The sequence below is a fragment of the Homo sapiens genome, chromosome 2 (genome assembly GCF_000001405.40).
Source record: "Homo sapiens chromosome 2, GRCh38.p14 Primary Assembly".
Classification (NCBI taxonomy): domain Eukaryota; kingdom Metazoa; phylum Chordata; class Mammalia; order Primates; family Hominidae; genus Homo; species Homo sapiens.
The window spans coordinates 42,295,720-42,310,235 of record NC_000002.12 but is presented as its reverse complement, the minus strand read 5'-3'; the positions used below and the strand labels follow the sequence as shown (position 1 = coordinate 42,310,235).

General features: G+C 37.6%; 1 protein-coding gene across 8 annotated transcripts in view; it reads right to left on the bottom strand.

Moving 5' to 3' along the window:
- EML4 (EMAP like 4) overlaps window positions 1–14,516 on the bottom strand; it is a 163,196-nt gene that overhangs the window by 22,313 nt on the left and 126,367 nt on the right. For all 8 annotated transcript variants that reach the window (XM_047443953.1, XM_006711992.3, NM_001410776.1 and 5 more), the window contains 4 exons: window positions 8,844–8,995; window positions 7,007–7,132; window positions 6,790–6,921; window positions 5,685–5,752 (listed from right to left, as the gene is read on the bottom strand). In XM_047443953.1, the coding sequence (XP_047299909.1) occupies window positions 5,685–5,752; window positions 6,790–6,921; window positions 7,007–7,132; window positions 8,844–8,995 (478 nt within the window). The remainder of the gene's footprint in view (window positions 1–5,684; window positions 5,753–6,789; window positions 6,922–7,006; window positions 7,133–8,843; window positions 8,996–14,516) is intronic.

Below are 14,516 nucleotides of genomic sequence, written 5' to 3'. Positions count from 1 at the left end.
ATAATGATTACAACTATGGTAACTGGCATAAGCACAGATATATATACATATTTATGGAACAGAATTCAAAGTCCAGAGAAAATCTCATACATCTTTGGCCAATTTGTTTTCAAAAATGGTGCCAATACTATTCAATGGAGAAAGAGAAGTCTTTTCAACAAATGGTGCTGTAACTGAATATCCACATACAAAAGAATGAAGTTGGACACCTACTGGGCCATACTATATATGAAGATTAACTCAAGACGAATTGGAGACCTAAAGGTAAGAGCTAAAACTATAAAACTCTTAGAAGAAAACATAGAAGTAAATATTTATGCTTAAGAAACAAGAGAAAGAACAGATAAACTAAACTACATCAAAACTTAAAACTCTGGTGCTATTAACAACATCAAGAAAGTGAAAAGACCACCCTCAGAATGAGGAAAATATTTGAAAAAGATCTGTAAGGAACTGTATCCAGAATATATAAAAAACTCTTACAAGAACAGACAACCCAATTCAAAGATGGGCACAGGATTTCAACATACATTTCTCTAAAGAGGATATACAAGTGGCCAATAAGTACTTGAAGAAATGCTCAACATCATTAGCCATCAGAGAAATGCAAATCAAAAGCATAATGAAAAACTACTTCACACCCACTAGGATGGCTATACTCAAAACACAGATAATATGTACTGGCAAGGATGTGGAGAAACTGAAACCCTCATACATTGCTGGTAGAATCATAAGACAATACGGCTGCTGTGAAAAAGTTTGGTAGTTCCTAAACAAAAAAAAAAAAATTTTTTTTTTTTTTTTGTGGTGGTTGTTTTGGTTTTGAGAAAGGGTCTCGCTCTGTCATCCAGGCTGGAGTGCAGTGGTGCCATCATAGCTCACTATGATAGCCTTGACATCCCAGATTCAAATTATCCTCCCACCTCAGGCTCCTGAGTAGCTGGGACCACAGGCATGTGCCACCATGCCTGGCTATTTTTTTTTTTATTTTTTGTAGAGGCAAGGTCTTGCTATATTGCCCAGGTTGGTCTCAAACTCCTAGGCTCAAGTGATCCTCCTGCTTCAGCCTCCCAAAGTGTGGGGATTACAGGTGTGAGCCATTGTGCCTGGTCTTAAAATGTTAAACATGGAGTTTTAACCCAACAATTCTACTCTTTTATATCCCAGAGAGCTGAAAACACATATCCACTCTAAAGCTCATGTATGAATGTATGTAGCAGCATTATTCATAGTAGCCAAAAAGTGGAAATAACCCCTATGTCCATCAGTTGATGAAGGTGGTATATCCATAAAATGGAATGTTATTTGGCCATAATACATGCTATATATGAAGTACTTAACGTGGATAAACCTTGAAAACATTAAGTGAAAGAAGCTCATCACAAAACTTCACGTTATATGATTCATTCCATTTATAGAAAATGCCCAGAACAGACAACCTATAAAAACAGAAAGTGGGTCAGTTGCCTAGAGTAAGGGGGGAGGTGGGTGGGGTCATGGGGAATGACTATTAATGGGTACAGGATTCCTTTCTGGGTTAAAAATTGTTCTGAAATTAGACTGTGAGGATAGCTGCATAACCCTGTGAACTTACTGAATTATATATCTTAAATCAGTGAATTTTATAGTATTTGAATTATTTTTTATTTCTTTTTTGGGGGGGTTATGTGAATTATATCTCAACAAAGTTGTTAAAAAGAATCCTTTCTATGTGAGCATTAACTTTTGTTTTTTGTTTTGAGACAGTGCCCAGGCTGGTGTGCAATGGCGTGATCTCAGTTCATTGCAACCTCTGCCTCCTGGGATAAAGCAATCCTCCTGCCTCAGCCTCCCGAGTAGCAGGGACTACAGGTGCACACACCACCACGCCTGGCTAATTTTAAAATTTTTCTTGTAAAGACAGGGTTTTGCCATGTTGCCCAGGCTGGTTTCAAACTCCTGGGCTCAAGCAATCCACCTGCCTTGGCCTCCTCCCAAAGTGATGGGATTACAGGCATGAGCCACTGTGCCCTGCAGCATTAACGTGTTAAGGAAGTACTATGTCCACTTAAGGTTATATGTTTAATTTTTTTCTCTTAAAATTACATTAATAAGACATTATTTTAAAATGATAATTGTACTTATTTGATGCTTTATTCACACTGTGCTTACTCTTTAGTTACATGAAGTAGAAGATATCTAGATCTGGACATGAAGACATCATTACTTTTTTTTACTAGTCACTTTTTTTGGATCATGCACAACTTGGACATGTGTTGCATTCTACTAGAAAAATGTCCTTGGCTGGGCGTGGTGGCTCACGCCTGTAATCCCAGTACTCTGGGAGGCCCAGGCAAGGTGATCACTTGAGGCCAGGGGTTCCAGACCAGCCTGGCCAACATGGCGAAACCCTGTCTCTACTAGAAATACAAAAATTAGCTGGGTATGGTGGTGGGCGCCTGTAATCCCAGCTACTCAGGAGGCTTGAGGCTAAAGAATCGCTTGAGCCTGGGAGGCAGAGGTTACAGTGAACTGGGATCATGCCATTGCACTCCAGCCTGGGCAAAAGAGGGAAACTGTCTCTAAATAAGTAAATAAAATAAAATAAAATAAAAATTTCTTAACCCTAGGTGTGACTTTTTTCAGGCCTAGGGTCAGTGATAGTAATAGAATGGCTACATTAAGATTTTTCCATTTTAGACAATACATTCAGGTATTCATAGATCCAAGGCAAAAATAAAAACAAATGAGAAAGTTCCCCAAGGATCAACAGAACCTAACCAGATCTGAAACCAAAGACAGGAGTTACATACAGAATGAACACTGACAACTACATCTCCCCTAGATTCTAATCAATCCCCAAATGGACTGCCAGCACTTTCAATTTAGTTATCACATCACTCTCATGAAGTGTTTTCTACTTACAACTCCAAGAGAAACCAATTGGCTTACCTTTAGTTTAAGTCACTAAAATTGAGTGACTTTCCATTTTAAGCTTGTCAATGATGACTTCACAGCTATGTAAATGCTGGAAAGTAATTTCAGTGAGTTTTTCAGAACAATTTTCCCTACAAATTGGGGCCGTGTATGTCTATTTGTAAACACACAGTGTTTTCTTCAACCAAAGCAGTTTATCTTCATGATTCAAACCCCGCTAGCCTTACAATCGCCCATTTAGTGTTTAACTCCCTTGTATACATAGTATGCTTTAACAATGTCAATCAGTGATTTAATTGTCAAAGATAAACCTTCCTAACAATATTTCTAATTAATGCTGTAAATATCTCAAAGAGTACTGTTGGATTAGAGGAAAGGACAAGCTTTGGAACCATGCAGAACCTGAGCTCAATCACAGGTAACAGAACTCTATGGGTCTTGGTTTCCTGTCTGTGCAATCACGATATTAATAAACACTATGTTACATTCTTGTGAAGAGTAACATATAAAAAGAATTTAGCGGCCAGGTGCGGTGGCTCACACCTGTAATCCTAGCACTTTGGGAGGCCGAGGCGGGAGGATCACGAGGTCAGATTGAGACCATCCTGGCTAACACGGTGAAACTCTGTCTCTACTAAAAATACAAAAAAAAAAAAAAATTAGCCAGGCGTGGTGGCAGGGCGCCTGTAGTCCCAGCTACTTTGGAGGCTGAGGCAGGAGAATGGCGTGAACCCAGGAGGCGGAACTTGCTGTGAGCCAAGATCATGCCATTGCACTCCAGCTTGGGTGACAGAGCGAGACTCTATCTCAAAAAAAAAAAAAAAAAAAAAAAAAAGGATTTAGCACAAGGTCATCAGACACTGAATAAATGATATCTCTTACTTTTATTATTTCAAGGACTTTAGCATTTGTGATATCTGTTTAGCTGCCAAAAATAAAGATCTGAAGTGAATTCCTTTGTGGTTTTCTGAAAACTGGATCAGCACTACACCTCAGATGGTTTCCTGTGTGCTTAACCATTTTTTTTGGTTGAAGAAAATAATTTCCTCCAAATCCTACAGTTACCTGTCATGTGTCTTTCTCAAAGAGAATGGACCAAACTCGGTCCAAATGGACAAATGTCCAAGTCTAAGTGCTTTTAAACCTCATCATGATCTATTACTTACGTGTTTTGGGGAAGATCTGAGCTAGCCTTCTATATTTGCAAAGTATCACCAAATGCTCTCTCAAGCAGCCTAATTCTAAAAATTCAATGATTTCACTCAATAGCATCTCTAGTTTCACATTCATAATTCAATTATCTTTAAAGACCTATTTTTCCATTATTCTGAAAGATTCTGCAGCACTATATGTAAGAAGAAATTGGAATGTTTTCACATTTCAGGTGTTAATTTGTATCTAACAGCCAGAAGGAAAAATCGCTATAAAAAAACCCCCTCTAAATGACTAAATTTAGTTAGAATTAAATGAATTAGTTGGTTTAAAGTATTTAAGTCTTATATAGAAACAAAAATATTTACATAAGCATGTTCACAATAGTCTCACCCCATTAAAAATCAGCATTCCACATTTTTTAATGAGTTTAATTTTGGGAAAATTGACTTCATGTTTTTGTCTCCTTAAAAAATGTGAGAAGGACTACTTACTAGCAGAGGCAATAAAGTTGAGTCAATTAAAGATATATAAATCATAAACATGTTAACCTTAGGTACTATACAAGGTCTGCAAGACAGGTCTTAAATTATTTTAGAAAATATATCTTTATTATATATCTGCGTAGCATTTAAAAAAGACAGGATGGCAAAAGGTATAGCACAAACAACTTATAAATGCTCAATGGTGTTACATCAGCTTCAAATCCTTCCCCTGCATAAAAGATGAGGAGAGAAATTTTCTGATTCTTCTCATTTCACAAAGGAAAAGTCAAATCTGCAACTCCTTTTCAATGAAGCCCATAATGACCACTCTATCATTTTGCAACTGCACTCCCTCTTAATCTCCCATCATTTTCCCTATCCTCACATGGTTCTTAACATTTTCTAATATAATTCGTGATAATGTTTATTATTTTTATTTTTTGTAGAGATGGTGTCTCACCCAGGCTGGTCTCAAACTCCTGGCCTCAAGCAATCTTCCTGCCTCAGCCTCCCAAAGCACTGGAATTACTGGCGTGGGCTACTGCAACTCGCCTTATTATTTTTTTTGAGATGGAGTCTTGCTCTGTTGCCCATGCTGGAGCGCAGTGGCACAATCTCGGCTCACTGCAACTGTCTCCCAGGTTCAACTGATTCTCCTGCCTCAGCCTCCAGAATAGCTGGGATTACAGGTGTGTGCCACTGCGCCTGGCTAATTTTTGTATTTTTAGTAGGGACGGGGTTTCGCTACATTGGCCAGGCTGGTTTCGAACTCCTGACCTCAGGTGATCCGCCCACCTTGGCCTCCCAAAGTGCTGGGATTACTGTGCCTGGCTGCGTCAGGGCTTATTTTTTATTCTGTCCCATACACGCTAAAATGTAGGCTTCACAGGACAGGAATTTTTGTTTTGTTTTCTGATGTATTCTGAATACACACAATAGCATGTAGCATGTCGCAAAAGGCAGGTGCTCAATAAATAATTGAATTCTATGAATATACAAAACGGATAAGAACAACAAGCATATTAGTGTGCCACTTAAGAGATTAATTCTCCAGATCAGATTGAGAACATTCCTGAATAGCATTTAAACATCCCACCACTTCAGATTACTCAGTTCACTTAAAGACCCTACCTGCCTGAGTGCGTTCCTATGGCCACCACTGTGCCACTTGGATGAAAATCTGCACAGTGTCCTGGTTCCTAGAAAAGAGACAGACAGCTGTTGGGGAGTACATGAGAAAGTCTCCCTATGGGGACAGTAGCAAAAACTTCTGAAAATAACCTGTTTCATTCAAACATAACATTTCAATCAACTTTGTAGCTAATGAGAAATACCACACAGATATGAGAGGAAAAAGAATTTCAGAGCATGAAGGGGATATGCTGGCAGAGTGGTGAGGGAAAGGGACAACCAGCTTGTGGCTAGGGAGTGGAACAATAATAAGGATAATAACAACAAACACTGGTACAGTTCTTTAGCATCCACAAAGAACTTATATACACCTCTTGGGCTAGAGAAGGTGGATATCTGGGTTGGGTAGAGAGAAAATACAGTAAGAGACCACCCAGAAAGAAGACAGTAGAGCCTGTTAGTGAGCAGCACTTACTGAATCCAACTGCAATGCCACCCGAGGCACAAATGTTTCCATAATAATTAATGCTATGTAGATATTTGAAATCTTTATGATTTTACTACTGAAGCTGATGGACAAATTGAGCTTTTACGCTGCTAACTTACTTCTTCTATTTTTTATTTTTTGAGACGGAGTCTCGCTCTGTTGCCCAGGCTGGAGTGCACTGGCACGATCTCGGCTCACTGCAAGCTCCGCCTCCCGGGTTCATGCCATTCTCCTGCCTCAGCCTCTCGAGTAGCTGGGACTACAGGCGCCCACCACCACGCCTGGCTAATTTTTTGTATTTTTACTAGAGACAGGGCTTCACCGTGTTAGCCAGGATGGTCTCGATCTCCTGACCTCGTGATCCGCCTGCCTGGGCCTCCCAAAGTGCTGGGATTACAGGTGTGAGCCACCTTGCCCGGCCTAACTTACTTCTTTAAAATCGGTTCATGTTCACACTTTAAGACTAAACGCTACCCTCTTATCTCCACCCTCTATTACTAAACCATATGTTTACATTTGGTTTGAATCAACACTTAGTCCTTTTTACTTTGCTGCTCTCAACTGCCAGTGTGAGGAGTTTCTGTGGGGAGGTTAATAATCACATCCTGCTTCACTCACATCTACCAGCCTGGTCCATTCCAGCCTGTGTTCCATTGAGTTCCACAGGCACACCTGCCTGTCCTGAGCACATGTCAAGAGCAAATCTTTGAAGGGATGTGTGGCAAGACCCCAAAGCTCATCTGTATGACCCTGAAAATGAAAGACACTCATTGTTATAAGAACCAAAGAATATCATAAAAAATATTCAGTTAACGGTTAATATCACACAGCTTACCTGTACTTCTATTTGGAAGCCATCATTAAATGTTCCTCGTAAAATAAAGTTTCGTGATGTGCCTACTAAAAATTGATCTGCCTTTCCTTCTGCTACAGCTCTGATTGTGCCATACTGATCAGGAACCTAGAAAAAAAAGTGTAAAGTCACCATATACATACTAATATGCATTAATTACTACTCGAAGCCTGCATTTATAGCTGTAAGCAATTATGAGGTAATTATGACGAAAGCCCAAATTTGGATATGGTAATCTCATACTACTACTAATTTATTTGTCCAATGACATTTTATTATACAGAAGTTATAATAATTATCAACATTCTTTGCTTCAGTTAATTTTAAACGTATATTTTATATGACTTTAGGAGTTAAGGGTTAAGAACAGGGAAAAAAGGCTGGGCATGGTGGCTCACACCTGTAATCCCAGCACATTTGGAGGCCAATGCGGGTGGATCACCTGAGGTCAGGAGTTCGAGACCAGCCTGGCCAACATGGTGAAACCCTGTCTCTACTAAAAATATAAAAATCAGCCAGGTGCGGTGGCGGGCGCCTATAATCCCAGCTACTGAGGAGGCTGAGGCAGGAGAATTGCTTGAATCCGGGAGGCAGAGGTTGCAGTTAGCCAAGACTGGGCCACTGTATTCCAGCCTGGGCGACAGAGCAAGACTCTGTCTCAAAAAAAAAAAAAAAGAAGTAAGTTCTATTAGCTCACATGAAATCACATGAAGAATGTGGTCGGGTTTTGTTACTTATTAGTTATATTAGTTACATTACTTTGGGTAAGTTACTTAGCCTAAGAAACATTTTCTGTAATATAAGGATAATAATACATGCCCTACCCACTCTTGATTGTTGTAAGGATCAAAATATAAAAATATTCTCACCACAAAAAAATGATAAATGCATGAGGCAACAGACATACTAACTACCCTGACTGGATTACTATACAGCATATCTGCATCAAAACATCAGATTGTATCCCATAAATATGTTCAATTACAATGTGTCAATTAAAAAAATGTAATGTGGAAGTTCTCTGTAAATTAAAAAACAATATATTATAAAGTATTATAATAATAGGATTCCTTGGGAGAGCAATTTCATTTAATGCAATACATGGAACAATCTCAGTGAATGCTGTGTTAATACATTTAATAATAATCTCAAAGAATGATTCTGAAATAATGGAATTATAAATCCCACTTTATCAAGTGGGATCTAAAATTACTCCTAAAAATACAAATAACTGAACTCTAAGAGGAATCCAAATTTACATTAGAAATGGGAAAGGAAGGAGTGAACTAGATTGTATAGCTTTTATTAACAAAGGATATGAGTTATCTGTGAAGAAAACAGTGATGGAAGTTGCATTTTCAGTATGAACTGAAGGTTGTGATTAAGCAACTCTTTATTATCTATCTTCCTGGAAATAAAATCCAAGAGCAGTACTATCAGGATCCTCTTTTTAAGAGGATTTTCCAGAAGATTTTCTCTGGAAAGAATGCTACACGTAGAAAAAAAAACACTAAGCATAAATCCAAAATATAAATCACCAAAAAAGAGAAGAAAAATTAAACTTTGTGACATTTGCTCTGGTTTTAACAGGCAAATTATTCTGCCTAATCTTTAAAAATAGTCTTTCAAATTATTTTAATGGTCTTTTTTTTTTGAAAAAAGTTATCTTAAAGGCAACAACAAACTCCTTTCTTGAGGAAAGGAAATGAAATTATAAGAATTTAATAAGTTTGCCAGAAAAGTATAAGTTATCTTAATGTGGGACAAAATACCTGAGTTTAGAGTATTTAATATTTTTATATTCCGTTTCCATCCTTACCTCTATTTCTCTTTCAGGATTCAGATCATGATCCCACAGAATTATTTTTCTGTCTTTCCCTCCTCCAGTTAATAACATCCCATTTCTCATCTGACAAAGTGTGAACACACTGCCATCATGAGCTTTGATTTGTTTGCTGATTTGATATACACCTAATATGAGGGAAAAATAAAAACACTAGTGATAATACTTTTCTTCAGATTTTAGTGTCTATTTGGAAGAAAACTTCAGTAGAACTAGAGTTAATAATCAGAAAGTTCATATGACTCAATCAAAAACCTATTTTCAGCAAGTCTTTTGTGCAAAGCAGGTAGTAAAGTTTAGGGTATAATACAATCTTTTGCATTTCTGTCAATATTTATTTACTCTGAAAATATTTCAAAATATTTTCCTACAAAAAACCAAAGCAAAAGTAGTGATAATTCCACAGACGAAAGGGGATATAGTATAGGTTTCAGAACTTTACTATCTCTCATAATCATCTTGTATGGTAGCTAGGGTAGGTGTCACTCTTCTGATATGAGAGCTCAAGACACAAGAGGTACAGGAGCAGCTTAGGGGATACCACATAGTTAGCTAATAACAAAGCTGTGACTAGGCTCAAGTCTCCCACCTTGATGTTCCTTTAACTTTGCAAAAACATCTTTGGTTGACCTTCTGAGGTAACAGTCACAACGTTTAACGTTTTACAACCATTGTTAACCCAGAGGCCTTCTGCTGTGCCAAGGATTACTCCCCTTTATTTGCTGAGATATGGGGGCACTACAGAAGTTATTGGGACAAAGGTAGGCAATGGATACCTGCAGTGATGGCTTTTGACCTACTAGCAGAGAATAATTTCAGTATTTTAAAAATTGATTCAGCTGTACCAATGTGATGGCTAAATAACAGCCCAGTTTTCTTGTATACCCATAGCACACTTTGTTAAGTACCCAGGGAGAGACCAAGGGGGTACATAAAAGGTCTTTTAGGCAAACACATGTGGTTTTTTAAATTATATTTTGCCCCCTTTTAAGGGTGAGAATAAGATGATAGTACTCATACCTTTTTCTTTGGTATTCATAAATGCCTTACTCAGAGAAGCTCTTTAGCTAGATAGGCTAGCAGAGCAAGAGTAAAGCTTTTTGGAAGATGATGTCCTACAGAATTAGTTACCAGGTTCAAAATGGGAAGGTAGAACCTTATTGAAATATGGCCAAAGTAAGTCAATAAACAGCCCTTAGTCCTCTTGAAAAAATTCAGGTTTAACAACTATTCATTTTCTAAAACTGTTCCTCAACTGATGAATAGATTTTAAAAACACAGTATGTCTATACAATGTGATATTACTCAGCCATAAAAAGGAATGAGGTATTGACACATGCTACCACCACATGGATGAATCTTAAAAACATAATGCTAAGTGAAGGCTGGGCACTGTGGCTCACACCTGTAATCCCAGCACTTTGGGAGGCCGAGGTGGGTGGATCACCTGAGGTCAGATGTTTGAAACCAACCTGGCCAACATGGCAAAACCCTCTCTACTAAAAACACAAAATTAGCCGGGCATGATGGCACATGCCTGTAATCCCAGCTACTTGGGAGGCTGAGGCAGGAGAATCGCTTGAACCTGGGAGGCGGAGGTTCAGTGAGCCGAAATCGCACCACTGCACTCCAGCCTGGGCAACAAGAGTGAAACTCCATCTCAAAAAACAAACAAACAAAACAAAACAAAAAAAACTAAGTGAAAGAAGCAAGTCATAAAAGACCACACATTGTATGACTCCATTTATATGAAATGTCATCAACAAGTAAATCTATAGAGACCTAAAGGAAATTGGTGGTTACCTAGGGGCTGAGGGGAGGGAGAAATAGAAAGTGACTACTAATGGGTACAGGCTTTCTTTTTGGGGTGATGAAAATGTCCTTAGGTCAGATAGTGGTGATGGCTGCACAACCTTGTAAATATACTAAAAACCACTGAACTTAAAGGCATACTTCAACAGGGTAGATTTCATGGTATGTGAATTATATATCGAAGTTGTTACTGAGATTGTTCTTTTTTACTCATCTATTTGAGCTGCTATTATACTTAACAAATTGACTAAAATTTCTAAGGCTTTGGTATCCTAAAAAAAATTATGTCTCAGTTTGAGTATGCTAGTGGTACAAATACTTAACAGATGGGTATATATGGCAGGGAGACAGGAAAGGGCTTGCTTGATTTGGAGGAGAACTTGCCCAATTCAGCAGAGCTGGAAGTAGAACTCCAACAAACTTGCTGTTCAGGTCAACTGTCTCCACTTACATCAATATTTATCATCTAAAAATACCTTAAAAATTGAACAACACAACTGTGTTCACTGGCATAGGTAGATAAGTATCTATCTCTGTTCTGATGTTACCACGAGAGGGAGGACACCTGAGAGATGAGAATTTTCTGAGAGTACTACTGGCTTTATTTGGATAATAAAAATAGAGAAAAGCAAATTCTAGGCTTATTTCCCTGTGCATGGTCAAACTAACAAGAGTAGCCTGAAGGTATCATGTAAGAAAACACAAAAAGCAAAGGTGTGGGAGTTTCATAGTTCTCTATCAGAATGTAAGAAAATAAAGCTTTTCTATGCTTAAGTCTGCTTTCCGTATTTCTAAACATGACAAAAACCTTGTTAAACACTTAAAATCCTCCCAGAATGATGGAAAACTGGAAAAAAAAATGAAGAAAAAAATGCTTCATCAGAAATAAAAATACTCTATATAGTGATCAAGTCAGTGAGTCCTTCTCACTCCAGGAAAGTTATTTCCTGAGGTGGACCTAGTATCGACTTAGCTTAAAAAATTTAGTGTTTCTAATTTAAACAAATTATCAAAGTTTCCTTTATATAGTATTTACCTGTAAAACAAATTTATAGCCAAAGATGTCTTTCTTATGGGCCTGTATTTCTGATATTTCAGTTGCCAAATAATGTTTGAAATCCCTGCCAAGGAAAATAATTATCCTTGAATTAAAAAAACCTACTCTGCCTTCAGGCTTACTCATATGGTCAAGTCCATCCAAACTTAATCACAAACCTCACCCTTTCTTCTCATCTCTAACAGACACAAAGCTTCCATAAAAAGCAAGTTTACACTGCCTGCCAAATAAAGATGTTTGGAAGGCTTTCTGTGCCTGTTTAAAGAATAAAATATTAGGGAGACTTTGAAATTTATGTTGTATTCTTAGCAACTGGGCCCATTTGATTATTCGGAGAACACATAAAATGGCAGTGTTTCTTAGCTCCTTTGCAAGACTTAAGAATGGTGAACATTTTAATGGTTCTGTAGATACTCTCAACTTCCACTTACCCACTTAAAAGATTACAAATTATTTTGCATAAGAACAATTTCAATCTATTTCATATGTGTAGGAAATAAATAACAAATACCTCATACCTACTTAAGAAACAGAAAACACTAATTACTTTGAAGATTCACATTAATTCATGTTTAAGGAAGAAATGGTTTGGAAACAAGAAAAAAATATATAAAAGCACTTTTAAGACATAAAATACAGTTTTGGTTTGTCTCCTATTACAAAAGTAAAAGGATTAGTTGTGAAATTATACTTCTGCCATCCAAAAAATCTCCTTTTATCAGACAGGATGTCACAGTACACTCAAATTTTGGTTGGTAAGACTGCCACAGGTGCAGAAATGTCATAGTTGGGAATATGTAAATTGGATCTACTGAAATCTGGGGGCCAGAATTAAAAAATGGAAACTGTGGACACTTACTCTGGTCTGGACTTCCATTTATTTCACTGCGCTCACCAAATTCTTCCCAGCCAATTGAAAACCTCAAATTCTTAGCAACTTTGCCCATAATAGGGTTAGTCATGTGGCAAAGTACAACACAGGCCATTTCATGTGCCCAGCAATTTACAAGATTGGATTTCCTGTTTCCTGTTTGTGCATATGTAGAGAGGTTGAGCCACAAATTTTTCAAAGACCAAAATAAAAACCTCTGAACCTCTTCTTCCTGTCCCCAACCTGAACACAAATATTAAGGCTAACAAAAGGGTATATTTATACGCAAATTCTGCTCAGTGTTGGAGATTCGTGAACAATTTAAAAGTCACTGTTTTAATAGACTATGCTGTTCCTGGCATTTCTGATACTAAGTAAATGTGCCCAGGAAAGAAAAATAAGAAAAAAAGAAAAGAGAAATAAATGGGAAAAGTAGTTGATAATATATTGTTGTTGTAACTCTATTTTTTAAGAACCCTCAACCCACTGCCATTCTTCTCGTGTGTAAATTTTGAACCTAAACTGAACGAAAGAGGCTAAGAATATATGGCCAATGATTGAGATAGGAGTCAATGGTAATACAATTTAAGGCTTCTTGTTTTAAACTTCTTAATAGGTCTAATTCAACTGCCAAGCTTAGACATTCAGGTGAATGGATTTGAAAAACATTTAATTAAAACATTAATTTCGTACAGATAGTGCCTAACTTATGTTGGTTCAATTTATTATTTTTTGACATTATGATAGATTTATCGGGATATAATGCCATCCAGAAGTCAAGGAGCATCTGAATATCTGTCCTAAAAAATACAGTATGAAACTCTGTGCAGTCATAAGAAAACAGTAATGCGAAATTTAAATTCCACATTTCGGTGAAAACAGTGCTTTCATCAATACTACTCAACTTTTACTCCTACATTGACACCCAAAGTTAAGATGAAAGTTATTTCCTTAATGTTTGACAAATAGTTTTCAAACAGCTAATAGCAAATGCCAGACACTGTGCTAGCCCAGGGAAAGCTTATTGGGGAAGGCAGATATGTAAATCGGGTCTTTCTGAGCACACGAACAGGGATTCCCTTATTCATAAATCACTTAGGGTGATTTTCATGGTCTGATGCAAGGACTCCAGAGAGAGAGAGAGAGAGAGAAGTATAAGGTGTTGTTCCAGTGTGTTTAGGGGAGGTGAATGAACAAGAGAAAGGACATGTTGCCCTGCCAATCCCCAGGGGAAATGTCTCAGAAAACTCAGGGTGATTTCCCCATTACCTCCTTTCTTACTTTTTTTTTGGTGAATTATTGAGGACTGGCTGACCTAGCTAGTTCTATTTCTACTGTTACCACCTGTTGCTGCTAAGAATCTCTCTCTTCTCCTGGCCCACTGGTTTTAGAACCAGGTCTCCAATTTTTCTCTTAGAACCTCCTACTCTGAAGGAAGTACATGGTACTCTGGACATTTTTTTCAAAGTTTGATTATTCTTAAATAGTAACGAAAAATGGGGTTTAAAAAAGGTTATTTTCCATGTCCTTCCTCTAATTTTTTCATTTACCGTAGAAAAGGGCAAAGAGGACCTGTATATTTGGGTGCAAATAAAACTTAAGAATAAATCTGTGTTTTTTAGGAAAACTGATTTGAGGTAAAGCTGAATGGATGCCAAGGACCCCTACACTAAGGTTGGGAAGAAGGGCTGCAGTGAGGAAAAGAAAAAGGAGAAGTGGATTGAACTATGAGTTTATTCCTTTTCTCTCCACTCTTCCATTTTATCACATGGCCATGCATTCTGCTCTAACAGATATCCCAGAACCAGCTCAGGGGAAAGTGAGCCTTTATACTTTTTAAACTAACATATATCCATATCATTTCTTTCTAATTATTAACTTCCTAAAGGGAATGGTTCAGTATAGTCAA